The sequence below is a fragment of the Homo sapiens genome, chromosome 16 (genome assembly GCF_000001405.40).
Source record: "Homo sapiens chromosome 16, GRCh38.p14 Primary Assembly".
Lineage (NCBI taxonomy): Eukaryota > Metazoa > Chordata > Mammalia > Primates > Hominidae > Homo > Homo sapiens.
The window spans coordinates 55,636,397-55,651,873 of NC_000016.10; the positions used below are offsets into that span (position 1 = coordinate 55,636,397).

Genomic DNA, 15,477 nt, shown 5'->3' on the forward strand with positions numbered 1-15,477 from the left:
ATCACAGAGGCTGGTCAGAAACATAACGCAGGTAGGAAGTAAGGAGCCTGAGGCCCACCAGAAGAGCTTGTGCCCTCTCCAAAACTCAAGAGTGGCCAGACAGCCGGGCACAGTGACTCACGCCTGTAATCTCAGCACTTTGGGAGGTGGAGGTGGGCAGATCATTTGAGGTCAGGAGTTCGAGACCAGCCTGATCAACATGACAAAATCTTGTGTCTACTAAAATTACAAAATTAGCCAGGTGTGGTAGCACACCCCTGTAATCCCAACTACTTTGGAGCCCGAGGCAGGAGAGTCACTTGAACTGGGGGGGCAGAGGTTGCAGTAAGCCAAGATTGCACTATTGCACTCCAGCCTGGGAGACCCTGTCAAACACACACACACACACACACACACACACACACACACACATACACACAAGAGTGGTCAGACAGAGCTCCTGATGCTTTATGAGAAGCCAGAATTGCAGGGGTTTTATGTGAAATTTCCTGGATTGCAAAGCACTGGGTGTACCAAATAAACACCACTGGGGGCTGTAGCTGGCCCACAAGGCACTGGCTGGTGGTGACTCCTGCTAATAAAGGTAACTCCTTCCATGATCCGCCTTGAACATTGGGCTCTGCAATGCCACAGCTGCCCTAGTGACCCTTGGCAGGCACCTTCTTGAGTGATTCCAAATAGTTATGACCTGTCCTTGGTGAGAGAGGAGGGGCAGGTCTCTTGAGGGTAGTGAAGCAGTACAAATGTTTGCATTTCTCAGGGATGCAATCGATGTAAACCAGATAAATGAAACCACAGAAAGTCAGTAGCTGAGGCAGGGATGAAATGTGTCCCCGTGGCCTCTTAAGCAATTAGCTTTGATGTCCCTGGCAGCTGCTGAATTCCAAAGGCAATTCCAGGGGCTTTGATTTGAAGCCAGTCTCTTAAGACCCACTTAAAGGCAGGGGGTACCCAGAGAAGAGCAAACCCAGGGTGGGTGGTGGTGATGGGGGTGGGGAGAGGGAGTGGTTGTTCCTGTCCTCAATGTCTGCAGAGTTGCTATGTAGAAGGGTGAGTACAAACTTCTTTTGTGTAGATCTAGGAGCTAAACCCAGGGCCAGCTGGTGGAAGCTACAGGGAGGCAGATCTTGACCTAAAGAACTCCCTAACAATGAGAGATGTCTGAAGGTGGAATCAGTTGCGTTTGGAAGTAGCAAACACTTCGTCATGGGAGGCCTTCAAGCACATGGGAAATGGCCACTCTTAGGGCTACAATGGTAAAGAGAAGTGTTGTTTTGGATAAACTCTGAAGTCCTTTCTATCCTAGAGATTTTGTGATTTATCTTATTAGCAATATTTCATGGTGTTCAACTGACCCGTTTATTTGGGGTCTTGACTTTTTATTTTAAGAAAATGTGCAGAAACTTCAGAACTCTCTTTCTACTCCGGAAATGAGACTCTCTGCACGTAAAATATAACAAGTGGCAGGTAATCCAGAACCATGATACTTTAGAGGCACAGGTAATAGGGAGTGACTGGCAGTGGCTTCATCTGTGTCTGCCTGGGAAGAGTTAAAGTATTATATAAGCCAGACTTCTGAAAAACGGGAAGGGGAATGGACAGATGGGATACGGGAGACTGGAATTAATAAGAAGTCAAATGGCTGAGTCATTGAACTAATTTCAAAGTCTGAAGGTAACAGGAAAACAGAAAATCAGACAATTGGAAAGTAATGAAGGTTTTGTAAAGACCCCAGGTGGCCAAAACAACAGGAGAAGTCAGGAAAACGTAATTACAACACTGATGTGAGCCCTCTGAGCCAGACCATCCTGTCTCTGGCCCTCCCCTCTCACCCGAGTCCTGCCTGGTCAGTAGCAGCTCCCCACTGCAGGACACAGTTAGAGGGGTGGGGGGCTCACCATTCACTCAAAGCACTCTCGGGTAATGCCGCCAGTGATAGTGTCTGTAAGTCCACCATGGCCAGTCACTCCCTCTTGGTAAGAATCTGTCTCCCCGTGACAAAGAAAGTCAGAACAGATGTGAATGCTAGGAATTGTTTCACCCATTACACAGAGGGAAAAACTGTGGCCCGAAGAGTGGATCGTGTGTAAAGTGCAATGGGGAGGATTGAGGTATATGAGACTCAATTCATTTCTACCTCCTGAATTAACAGAAAAGGCCCATACTGGCAAAGTTAGAGCTTTAGCTTGTGCTTCTGCTTTAAAAAGCATCATCTCTGGGGATGAATGTAGACAGTCTCTCAAACTCAATAACTGGCTTTTGAGGAACAGAGATTTCTCATGTTCCACATTCTAAAAAGCCACCTTTTTGTTGACAGGGTGAGGTTTGAGGACGTACTTAAGAACCATCAAAATCTGTGCTCTCTCCTGTTCACAGACTGATGAAGAGAGCCAGCGGCCTTTGAAGCTGCTCGTGTTTGTCTGATTTTAAGAGGCAGAGAAAGGCCCAAAGATGGTTTCCCAGCAGGATGGGACAAGTCAGCAAGTTTCCTGAGCCAGGGCAATCGTATCTCTAACGAACTAGAGAGAGAATGTTCATTTAGTCTTTAAATTTATTTCTTTATATTTTTTTTTAGAATCAGAAAATGTCCCCAGATGGTCCTTGTGTGATGGACTTTAGAAAGTCATTACAAACACTTTTGTTTTCTGGCCAATCTTTCTCCTCCTGCCTGGGAGAAGAGCCTCAACTCTTCTCACACTCTCCCCTCCTGGGTGGCTCCAGGGCCTCCTGACCAGTCCCTGCTTCACCCCTGCCCACCGCTCTACACACGGCAGTGGGACAGACCCTTTAAAATACAAACTTGATCACACTACCGAGCTATGAAGTCTTCAGTGGCTTTCCCACTGTCTTGAGAGTAAAAGCCATCCTCCTTACAGTGGCCAAAAGGTGGCTTAAAATCAGGTCACTGACACTTCTTCATTCACTCTCATCTGCCCTTGCTCACAACTTGGGTGGCACTGCCCTTCTTTCTCGGCTCAGGGCGCCTTCCTCCAACCCTTACCAGTCCTTTTGAACCTGGTGCTGCCTCTTCCTAACTCACTCCTCCCTGGCTCTCTGCAGGGCTGAGCTCAACTCAAGAGAACTTGAAGAGGACATTTCTGAGCACCTGGCCACAGATCCTTCCCAGACAATCGGAGTCTAACTCACCACTCTGGGGACTTGTCAATATCTATCCACATCTTACTTATTTCCTTGTTTATTTGTTTCTAGACTTTTCTCCTGGCTTGACTTTAAGCAGGAATCTCATCTGTATTATTTACCACTATAGCCCTGGCTCATAGAATTGTTCCTGATACATAGGGATGACTCAAGAAATGCTTTTGAGAGGGAAGGAAGGAAGGGAGAGAAGGAGGGAAGAAAGAAGATAGGAAGGAGGGAGGAAGGGAAGGAGAGAAAAAGAAAGATTGGAGGGAGAGAGGAAATCTCTCTCTCTCTCTCTCTCTCTCTTTTTTTTTTTTAACATATTCTAGTTGGTTTTTAGCCAGAGAAGGGTGATACTTAAAACAAGAGACTTAACCATGGACTTTATGGCCTAAGAACAACAATGTTTGGGACAAGGTAAGAATAGCTGGGGACTCCTCAAGTCTCACCTTGCAAGCAGCCAGCTGTGTTGCCTAGGGGTGGGACAGACAGATGCTAGGGAAGGCAAAGGGAGCCACCAGTTGGGGCAGAAGGGAATCAGTGGAGGACCTGGGAAATCTTAGCCCTTATAGGTTTGCAGGACCTCTTCCTGCTTGGGAGACTCCAGCATCTGCCTTTCAATGAATAGCATCAGGACTAGCATTGCCCCCAAGGAACCTGGAATCAATGAGAGGGTTGGTGGAGTGTAAATGTTTGGGCCAGAGAAAGTGAGCACCTTGGAGACGGAGCTCCGAAGTTCTGCAAATGCAATATCTTCATTTAAAGACTGGTCTGTAAGTGGCACTCCGCACACAGTTGTGCAATTTATAGATGATGGCATGGGGTTCTGGAGGCTGGCTCCAGGGAGATGAGGTTGCATGGACCTTAGGCATTGCAGACCACAAGACTCCTATGGATGGAAATAAAAGCAGCTACAGCCACCAGCAGAGAAATCTCTTCTTGTTTGTTTGTTTGTTTGTTTTGTTTTGTTTTGAGACAGAGTTTCATTTTTGTTGCCCAGGCTGGGGTGCAAAGGCATGGTCTTGGCTCACTGCAACCTCTTCCTCCTGGGTTCAAGCGATTCTCCTGTCTCAGCCTCCCAAGTAGCTGGGATTACAGGCACCCGCCACCATGCCTGGCTAATTTTTTTGTATTTTTAGTAGAGATGGGGTTTCACCATGTTGGCCAGGCTGGTCTCGAACTCCTGACCTCAGATGATCCACTCACCATGGTCTCCCAAAGTGCTGGGATAGAGAAATCTCTTCTAAGCAAGAGAGTTGTGCACACAGCACTGGACAATTTGCCGGGTGGGGCATGAGCTGGCTAAGGCATTGGGAAGGGGCTGGTGAGGATGGTGGTCAGAGGCGCCTGGCAAACCTCAGATTCTATAACATTCAGACCAGGTCCATTTCCTGCTGATGACCAAGTGGACTCTCAGAAGCCATCAGGAGGGTGCTCGGCTCATCAGGGGAAAGTCAATTCCCTGGGGCTTTCACTTATAACTTTGTTTGCAGATAGCAAGCCTTTTCCGCCCGGCTTCTCATCCTGAGCCTTTCTGCCTGTAACAATCACATTATTTAATTTAGATGAGTGAAGTTACCCTAGATCAATTATACTTATTTTTCCTGTGTAATTTCCAAAGCTTAATATCTCCATTCGGGCCCAGCCTGGGGGACAGGTTGTCTAGCAGAGTCCTAAACGATTTCAGCCTTTAATTCAATTGTACTTTTACCATAGCCCAGCAGCGAGCATAATTCTTTTATCCCTAAGATGTCTCATTAGCAATAATCTAATAGCACATATTAAAATATAGGTCACTGAGGTGGGCTGCCAAGTGGAAGGCTTGTCATAACTTTGAAGGTTGGACAGCTGCCTTGGTGGGACTTGGTCCCCCAATAACACACCACCCTGACTCTAGGCTTAATTCTAAAATGATCAATAAAACACAACAAAAACAGCTTACTTTCTGCAGTTCAAGGTTAAGAACCGACGTTGGCTAGGAAATAGAGCTGTGGGGTAGGGTAAGGCAGAGGGGAATGTTCTTGCCAACATGACGTAGTAGGAAAGATCTCCGACCTCAGGAACTTGGGCTGGAACCTCATCCCAGTTGTGCCGTGAACATGCAGACTGACCTGCAGTACAGCTGTTATGGCCCTTGACCTTGGTGTGCACACCTGTAAAAGGGGAAGATACTGGGCTTAAAGCCAATGTTTCCTGAATTCTGGCACTCCCTGATCAACTTGTCCTAGTATGCATTTGATGTTTTCCTTTAAATCAACTCATTCTTCTTAATTAAACACATTTGTTTTAAAAAGGAAGCTCAAGTATCAACATGGAAAAACCTCAAGAATATTTGCAGGAGGATTCATGCGGAATAAGGCCAACTGTATAAACTTTAAACATGCACAAAAGTGATGCGTAAAAATGGTTTAGACAGGCAAAATAAATCTAGGGGGTTCAAGGTCCAGATAGCAGTTACCTTTGGGGAGGAGGGAGATGTTGACAGGGAGGGGCAACCAGGGGGACTCCTCAGATTCTGGTCATTTTTTTAATGGCCTGGATGTAGTTTCATGAGCGTTTTTACTATGTAAAAAGTGCAGTTATAATTACTTCAATTTTCTGTGTGTTAAGCCTCATACAAATATATATATGTTTTATATATAAAAATTTATATATATGTTTTCATATATAGTTTATATGTATAAAATTTTAGGAATATACGCAACATTTTAGGTATATGTAAATGTACGTGTGTAATTTTAAGTAATAATATATACATATCGTGTATACATAGGTACATATGCAGTATATGTATATATTGAGTATGTGTGCATGTGTGTATATAGTATGTATATTGATTATTCTTAATAATATATATTTATATTTAATAATAAATACATATTGTTATATAATTATGCATTATATGTATGTATACCATACATTTAATATGTGCTATTAGGTATGTATTATGTATGTATTTAGTGAGGATTATTCCCAAATGTGTATCTAAGCTTTCACTATCTGGCACCTATGAACACTAGAGAGCAGGTATCTAGTGAGAGCAGAAATACTCTATAGTGACAGTGTAGATACATGCTTGGGAATTATCCACATTTTTTAAGTTAACAGTAAGAAATAATGAAAGAAATTTTATACTGTCATCATGTAATAAATAAAAAACCAAAATCACATGCCATAAATAGATAACTAAAAATAAAGCAACGAAAAGAAAGCACTGATAGGAGATTCTAGTTTCATGCGGTTTGGGCCTGAAAGTTCTGACCCAAAGCCTGGCTTCCTTCTGTTGAACTGGGGATTAGTAAGTTAGAGTCATTACAGACACATGAACACCAGATTGAGACTCACTCCTTCCGTAATCAGGGCTAAAAAAGCATGAAAAGCAGTGGAACTTTCTCCCTCTGTGATTCAAAGTAATTCAAATCAGGGCCTGCATAGCCCTGAGCCATTGCCCCTTTTCCTTGGGGCTGTACTTCTCTACTTCAGGAGAGATCTGCAAGGTCCCTCCAAGCTCCAACTATCCTAGCTTCTAAGGGATGCGGGCATGGCGAAAGGTCTTGTTACAGGTGGGCTGGAGGATAGGGAGAAAAAAATGGGAGAGACGCTATTAGCAAAATTGGAAAATTTTGAAACAAAGCCCCATTCCTTTCTCCAGCTCCCCGGACTGGTTCTCACAAAGCCTGAGCCAGAGGCAGGGGTGGGCAGGCACACACTCCTTGGAGGGCAGCCCCCAGCCTTCCCAGACACAGCCGTTCCACCTGCCTCCTGGGCTACACTGAGCTGGAGCCTGACTCCTTGAAGTGCGTGTTTGTGGCTCTGGGCCTGCTCTTGGGCCACACGGAATATATGTGCAGCACCCCCTGGTGACTGCATGTCCACTCCTGAGGCCAGCAGGTCTGTCCCTCAGTCTTCTCCTAAGGCCTAAGTCTCTCCACCAACTGCCTGACCTGACTCTCCCCAGGACATGCACTTCAGCTTTAGCTTCATGGCCCACATCCACACGTGGGCAGTGTAGACCAGCTGCCAGTCCCCTTACAAGAGAACTGCGTGTGCTGGAGGGCTCAGTGAGGATTCCTGTGGCCCTTGGAACAGGCAGGGTGGCCTCATGATGACCTCTCCCCACCTTTGTTATCACCAAGGATCCTTCCCAGCCTGGATCCTCCCCTCACTGCTGCCCCAACCTGGACCCCCAAGTCTTCCCAGCCTCCTCATCAAAACCTATCTTTCGTGCACCTCCTTCCTTCAGAGTGATGCCAGGGCAATGTTCAACTATCTGCTCTGAGAAATGTTCCAAAGAGAGGACGTAGGTGTGGGAAGACCCTGGGACCACGTGTCGGAGCCGGTTCTGATCTCTTGCTCTGCTACTACCCTGTGTAATTTTGGGAGTGGAAGTGAGGCAGGGAGGTACAAAGTGGGGCAAAGAAGTGGAGGGTTCTTCTGCCAGCTACCTGGGAGGAAGGGCAAACCTCATGACACACAGCATTGAGGGGAGACTGGCAGTGGATGCTGAAGACCTGGAAGATGCGCAGGACAAAGGCAAAGGGGGCAGAGAAGAAAAATAGAAGAGAAACAAAATGGGCCTTGGGGCAGATCCCAGAACTGGTGGGAGGGGTGGATCTAAGGGCTTGAGGTGGGAGGTGAGCCTTGAAGAGGGAAGGACTCTAGCTCCTTGAGGGGAAAGGGCCAGAGGAGATGGTGGCTGACAAACCACAATGTCTGGGTTCAGAAATGCATCAGCCATGGCCTCAAGTTTCCCAGCCAAAAAGAGTGAGCAGCCCTACTGAGAATAGGGAGCTCGAGCAGAGAGATGGAGTGAGGCAAATGAGGCCCAAACTGGCAACCGCTGAGCCATGGAGATAGAACAGGGGTGAAGAGCGTAAGCCCTGGAGCCTGCCAGGATCTGGGCTCAAACCCTACCCTCTGTCCCTCTCTAGCCATGAAGTCCAGGACAGGACGTCTAACCACTTTCAGCATGGTCTTCAATCTGTAAAATGAGAATAATGATTGTCTTGTATGAAATGATACTTAGCATAGTGCCCACACCCAGTTTGCTAAGTGAATAGAACTGCCAAGTGTATAGCAAATGTCTATCGTGTTTATAGTACGTGCTAATCACTGCTGATGCACTTTGCAGTCGCTGATGCATTTAAGCCCTCCAACTCCCCCAACAGATAGATACTATCATAAGCCCAATTTTATTATCATTATTATTATTGCCCAGGCTGGAGTGCAGTGGCATGATCATGCCTCACTGCAGCCTTGACCTCCTAGGCTCAAGCGATCCTCTCATGTCAGCCTTCCTGAGTAGCTGGTACTATAGGTGTGCACCACCACGCCCGGCTAATTTTTGTAATTTTTGTATTTTTTTTGTAGAGTCAGGGTCTTGCCACGTTGCTTAGGCTGGTCTCAAACTTCTGGGCCCAGGCAATCCACCTGCCTCGGCCTCCCAAAGTGCTGGGATTACAGGCGAGAACTACCACACCCGGCCCTAAGACCCATTTTATAAGTGAGAAAACTGAGCCACGCATCAGCTCGAGGTAGCAAAGCTTGTAAGTGAAAGTCAGGATTTGAACTCCCAGGCAGTACAGAAGTTGAGTGCCACTACTCCTGCTGATCACATTAAGGGAGCCAGAGATCAAGGGCCTCCTAAGAAACTAGGAAGGGAGGGTGGTGGTATTACCAGAAAGAGGGGTAGCAAATCATTACCCTGCACCCTACCTCCTAGTTCCCCTGTCCTTACCCAAAGACCACCCAGCTTTCATTTTGAGGGCTGAGAATACAAAGGAGGCAAACTTCTGAAGAACATGTTTCAGGTAGGTGTTCTCTGTATGTAGTCCACAGAGGGTGAACTACTGCGTGTACCACCATCACTAAACAACTTAGTAGGTTCAGGATCCTGGGCACGAATGCAGAGCAGGACCAGCCCAGACTAGGTGCATCCCCCAGGCCTTGGCTTCATTGCAGACAACCTTGAGCCAAGGCCTCATGATTCCCTTGAAGAGGGTGCAATTCACACCTCTGTCCCTTCACTCTTCCACGCCTCTGTTCTGGGGTATTGATGGATGCTCCTGCTACCTCCTAGATGGTACCCTAGACAGTGAACGTGAAGCAGCTTTTCTCCCTTCCATGTCTCAGAAGGGACCCATTCATGACTTCATGGAATAGACAGCCCAGGCAGGAAATGGCTATGTTTTTTGCCAAGCAGTCAGAGCAAAAGGAGGACACACCAGTTTGAGGGGAGAAAGGCATTCAAATTGGGCAAAGCTGAATTGCCCACAAATTGCCACAGCCACTCTCAACTTGGGACAAAGGTTATGAAACACGTCACTAATACTGGAGTTGTTATTTTTTTAAAGAGCAACAATTATTTATTTTACTCATGAGACTTCATTTGGGGCAGGGTTTAAAGGGAATGACTTGTTGATGTTCCATGATGTCAAGGGTCTCAGCTGGGATAACTTGGTTGGCTGAAGCTAAAATGGCTGGGGGACGGCTGGACATTTCTTTCTCTTCCTGTGGTCTCAGAGCCTCTCTCTCTGCGATCTCTCCAGCATGGCAACCTCAGGGAAGTTGGACTTCACACATGGAGACTGAAGGTTCCAAGAGAGAGTCATGGGCAGAGCTGCAAGGCTTCTTTTACTTACCTCACTTGGAAAGTCCCAGAGCATTATTCCTACCACATTCCACTGCTCACACAGAGCCATCCCTGACATGGTGTGGGAGGGCATTCCACAGGGGCCTGAGTATTGGGAAGTGCAGATCACTGGGAAGCCATCGTGGGTGCTGGCTATATGATTTCTTTGCTTTGGGCATTACCTTACTGAATAGATTCTGTTGTGATTTCACGTTTACCATTTTATTATAGAGGCTATTGCAAAGGTTATAGATGAAGAGATAAGTAGGGTGGCTTTTGGGGGAAGGGGATTGGAGCTTCATGCTCTCCCTGGTGCACAACCCTCCAGGAACCTCCCCGTGTTCAACTATCTGAAAGCTCAAGTTATTTTTTTTTAAACAAGAATATACATGCCACAAACATGCAGATTCCTGGCTCCCACTGCAGACCCACTGAATTCAAATTTCTGGGTTGGGGCCCAGGAATCTGCACTTTTAACAAATCTGCCAGAGGCGTGAGCTGTAAAAGTGGAAAAGAGGCAAAAGGCCACTAGGAAGAAAGAGTGACTTTGAGGACTCAACTGCCACTGCATTGTAGAGGCTAAAGAAATGTGACCCTTCATACAGTGCTACCCGCTAATTATCTTCACAGGTGTTGTCATCCCCATTTTATAGTTGGGAACGCTAAGGCTTAGAAGCCAAAAGTCACCCAGCCAGCAAGTAATGAAGCTAGGCTTTCAACCCAGCTTTTATTTTTTAAGTCCAAAGGCCACAGTTGTAATAGTTATGCCAACCCATATTTGCTATTTTATCCCAGTCTTGTAATTTGAAGTCAGATAAATCTAAATTAAAATTCTGGAGAAGATCCCTGCCTCCCACAGACATAGAGAAATTAAATGTTTTGATAACGACAACAATAAGAAGTAACATGTATGTGATACCAGGCATTGTCTAGGTGCTTTACATGTATTTACTCATTCAATTCTCTCAGCAATTCTATGAGCTAAGTGCCCTTATCCTCCTCATCATCTTATCCATTTCACAGATGAAGAAACTGAGGCCAGGTCTGGTGGCTCATGCCAGTAATCCAAGCATTTCAAGAGGCTGAGATGGGTGGATTGCTTGAACCCAGGAGTATGAGACCAGCCTGGGCAATATAACAAGACCCCATCTATACCAAAAGGAAGGAAAGAAGGAAAAAAGGAAAGAAGGAAGGAAGGAAGGAAGGAAGGAAGGAGGAAGTGAGGGAGGGAGGGAAGGGAGGGAGGGAGGGAAGGAGGGAAGGAGGGAAGACGGAGCGAGAGAGAGAGGGAGAGAGAAGGTAGGGTAGAGGGAGGGAGAGAGAGAGAAAGAAAAAGAAAGAAAGAGAGAGAGAAAGAACGAGAGAGAGAGAAAGGAAGAAGAAGAAACGGAGGGAGGGAGGGAGACAGAGAGAGAAAGAAAAAAGAGAAAGAAATAAAGGAAAGAGAGAAAGGAGAGAGAGAGAAAGAAAGAAAAAAGAAAGAGAAGGAAGGAAGGAAGGAAAGAAAGAAGGAAAAGAAACTGAGACACAGAGAAGTAGGGGAACTTGGCCAGGATTTCACAGATAGTCCACAGTGGAGTCAGGATTAAAATTCAGGTTAGTGGCTCCTAAGTTCATGCTTTTAGCCTGGATACCATTCTGCCTCTCCAGGCTCCACAAAAGCTTAATTTGCTGTTTCCCAAGAATAGACATCAGAAGGCCAGTGAGACAAGTAAGAAAGAAGTGGGAAGATAGCTGTAAGAATCACTTTGGTCCAAATATATTCCTGGTGAAGCCATTGGAAAGTGTTTTCTGAGCAAAAAGAAAAGAGCTCAGACACTAGAGGGCAATCATTTTAAGAGACTCTGAGATGGATTTCATGCAGGAGTTTGCAAATTCTCCCCAAACTCTATTTAAAATGCTGTGTACATTAGAGAAGACAAATACATGGAAACATGTACTGTGTTCTTGGATGGGAAGACTAAACACTGTGATGATGTCAGTTCTCCCTCAAATTGATCTGTAGATTTAATGCAATAACAATTGAAATTCCAGTGGTGTTTTTCATGGAACGCTGCAAGATGGTTCAGAAATTTGTAGGGAAGAGCATGGCCAAGATATTTCCAAAGAAAAGGAGCTCGAGAATCTTGCTCCACCAGATAGGAAAGTGTATTATAAAACAATGTTAATTAAGACTGTGTGGTAATTCTTGGGCACAGATAAATAGACCAACAGAACAGAAGAGAGAGTCCAGAAAAAAACCCAACTGTACAAGGAAACTTGGTTTATGATAGAGAATTCTCTGATGATTAGAGCAGAGAAGGTGTAACTACTTAAGGACTGGGGCAGGACAATTTGTTATCTGTTATTCAAATGAAAAATAATGAAGTGGAATCCCTACCTCATACCTTATACAAAAATCAACTCCAGGTGGACATCAATATGAAGGACAAAACTGTCAAATTTTAAAATATAACTTTGGAAAATATCAGCTAGGGACAGATTTCTTAAACCAGACATAAATATAGAAACCAAAAGAAAAAATTGCTACATTAAATTACATTGAAGCTAATAACCTCTACTTACCAAAGTCACCCAACAGAGCAAAAAGATTTACAATGCAGCCAAGAAAAGATGTTGGCAACATTTCAAAGATTAGTACCCAGGATATATTATTAAGTACTGTGAATTAATAAGAAAAACATTAATAAGCCAATAGAAAATTGCTCAAACAATATGTATCATCATCTCATAGAAGAAAAAGAAACACAAATGACCCATATGTATTTGTGAGAAGATGTTGAACATCATTAGAAGTCAGGGAGGTGCAAATGAAAACTACAGTGAGATACCATTTCACACCCAAAAGTTTGGCAAAAGTTAAAAGCCTAGGTAATACCAAGGGTTAGGGAGGATGTGGAGAAATTAGATGTGAAGAACTGACACGGTGCTAGAGGGAGTTTCAATTGGTACAAACACTTTAGAGAATGGTTTGGCATTGCTTGATAAAGCTAAATAAATACATACTCTACAAACCAGCAATTCACTCCTAAGAATAAACCCTAGGAAAACTCTTGCACATTTGTGTAGGTGACATCCTAAAGCGTTTATAGACAGCATTGTTCAAAATCCAAAAAGAAAAAAAAACTGGAAACAATCCAAATGTCCTTCACAGTTGGATGAATAAATAAATTGTTATTATTCATACAATAGAATTACTATAAACAACACTGAAAACAAGTGAACTGCAGCCAACCCCATCAGCAAGGATGAATCTCAGAAACATATTGGGCCAAATAAGTCACAGAACAATATCTGTAGTGTGATTCCTTTTACATAAAATTTGAAGAAGAATAAACTAACAATGTATTGTTTAGAAATATATTCATAGATAGTAATATTATAAAGAAAAAACAAAGAAGTGGTGTTTGCCAAACTCAGGATAGTGTTTATTTTAGAGCAGGGAACAGGGGTGAATGTGCTTAGGGGGCGTGGGGTGCATGTGGGCTTGTCAGGTATGGGATATTCTATTTCTTAACCCGGAAGGGTAGGTGGGTTCTTGTACGTTCATATTATTATTATTATTTGAACTGTGAAAAAGATAATACATGTTTTATTTTAAGAGATTCCGAGATGAATTTCATGCAGGATTTGCAAATCTGCCCCAAACTCTATTTAAAATGCTGTGTACATTAAAGAAGACAAATACATGGAAAGATGTACTGTGTACACTTTTTTCTTAAGTACGAGAAATTTCACACTAAATTTTAAAATGCTGTGTGTGTGTGTGTGCGCATATTTCTGGGAGGAAATTCCATGTCTCATCAGATTATCTAAGGAATACCTGGTGTTCTAACAGAGTGACAACTGGATGTAAGGTTTCTGAGATTCTGTCCAGATATTCTCGGGTGGATAGAGCCCCTGTGCAGGCTGGCAGCCCGGTCAACTGGCCAAACCTCCCTCTGTCTTAGAGAGGAACCTAAACCAGCTGTGAGTCTTCTCCCTCCATAACTCACATGACTATCTTAAGGCCAAAGGATGTATCTGGGGTCTCGTGTAGGGGAGGGCAAGTTCCTCTTTTTCTCCTGGGAGACTGAGTCCCTTTGCCCTGGGCACCTCCTTCCCTTTCTCCTTCCCTGGCTCTTCGACATGTGCTCTGCCTCTTTCTTCTTTCTATGGTCCACCTGCATATTGCTAATGGACTTGGCCATTACTGCACAGCCTGAGAACAGCAAAGCCTGAGTCAGGACCCATGGTGCTGTCTCACAGCCCAGTGCTTTTCTGCCATGCCACTGGTCACTCCTATTCTCTTCTCCCCCAACACCTCTGTCTCTGTCAGATCTGGCTTCCCATGGGGACTGCAGGGCTCAGCTGGGCTTGCATTGGCAAGTCCACCAAAGAATGCATTTATCCATTCATCCCTGTCACCCACGGAAGGACTTTGGGTTTTGTTTGCTTTTGAGACAAGGTCTCACTCTGTCACTTAGGCTGGAGTACAGTAGCATGACCACAGCCCACTGCAGCCTCCACCTCCTGGATTCAAGCAATCCTCCCACCTCACCCTCCTGAGTAGCTGGGACTACAGGTGCACCCCACCATCCTCGGCTAATATTTTTTAAAAAAATTTTGTAGAGACAGGGTCTCACTATGTTGCCCAGGCTGGTTTCGAACACCTGGGTTCAAGCACTCCTCCCACCTCAGCCTTCCAAAGTGCTGAGATTAGACTTCGGATTTTATTCTGAAGGAGATAAAAGCCATTGGGGAGAGACAGTGATAGGCTCTGAACTTGTTTCCAAAAGGTGTTTCTAGCTGCTATGTGGAACTTAAACTTCATGGAATAAGGGGAGAAGTCAGGAAGCCCATTCGGAGGCTATGACATTAATCCAGGCAAGAGGTGACATGGCTTGGAACAGGGACACCACCATGAGGTGGGGAGGTGTGATGTGATTTGGAACCAGTCATTTGCAGTAGGATTGGATGATGGTCAAGAGAAAGAGGAGTCCAGGCTGACTCCAAGGTTTGTGGCCCAAGGAACTAGAAGGAAGAAGATGCCATCACCTTGGTAGGGAGACTGTGGGGAAGCAGGTGTGGTGTGGGTCAGGAAGGGGAGGCCAAGGATCTTACTTTGGACATAGTGACTTCCAGGTGCCTTTGATTATCCAGGTAGTGATGTCCAGTCTGCAGTTTGATAAAGGCACATGAAGTTCAGGGGAGCAGCCCAGGGAGAGGATGTGAATGTGAAGTCAGCAGGCAACAGATGCTCTTTAATGCCAGTGCCTGAATATGGTCAGCTGGGCTAGGAATTAAGAGAAAAATCTAAGGACTGAGCCACACCGCACAGATCGGAAGTCTCAGGTATCCCAAGGGCACTTTAGTGGGTGGTGTCCTGAAGGAGGCGGATTTCAGTTCATGGAGGTCTTATGCTATTCGTAAATCCAGCACAACTTATGCCAATGATGAATGAATTCAGGGCAGGTCAGCTGCAGTGTAATATATGCCTATTGTCCCCTGATCAAGACAGAAAGACAGAATGAAAAGGAAGAAGGAAGGAAGGAAGGGAGGGAGGGAGGGAAAAAAGAGGAAGGAAAGAAATCAGGGAGAGAAAGAAGGAAAGGATGGAAGGAAGGTGGGAAAGGAGAGAGAAAGAAAGGGACTAAGGGAGAAAGAAAAAAGGAAGAAAGGAAAGAAAAGAGAAAGAAAAAGAAAGAAAGAAAAAAGAAAAGAAA

The 15,477-nt window shown here is 45.0% G+C and overlaps 1 annotated feature.

Moving 5' to 3' along the window:
- Positions 6,881 to 7,175: a silencer, noted in NCBI's record as "tiled region #3138; K562 Repressive non-DNase unmatched - State 13:Ctcf". NCBI's record gives its function as "represses a minimal TATA promoter and a strong SV40 promoter by Sharpr-MPRA in K562 cells {active_cell/tissue: K562}" and the evidence as "EXISTENCE:reporter gene assay evidence [ECO:0000049][PMID:27701403]".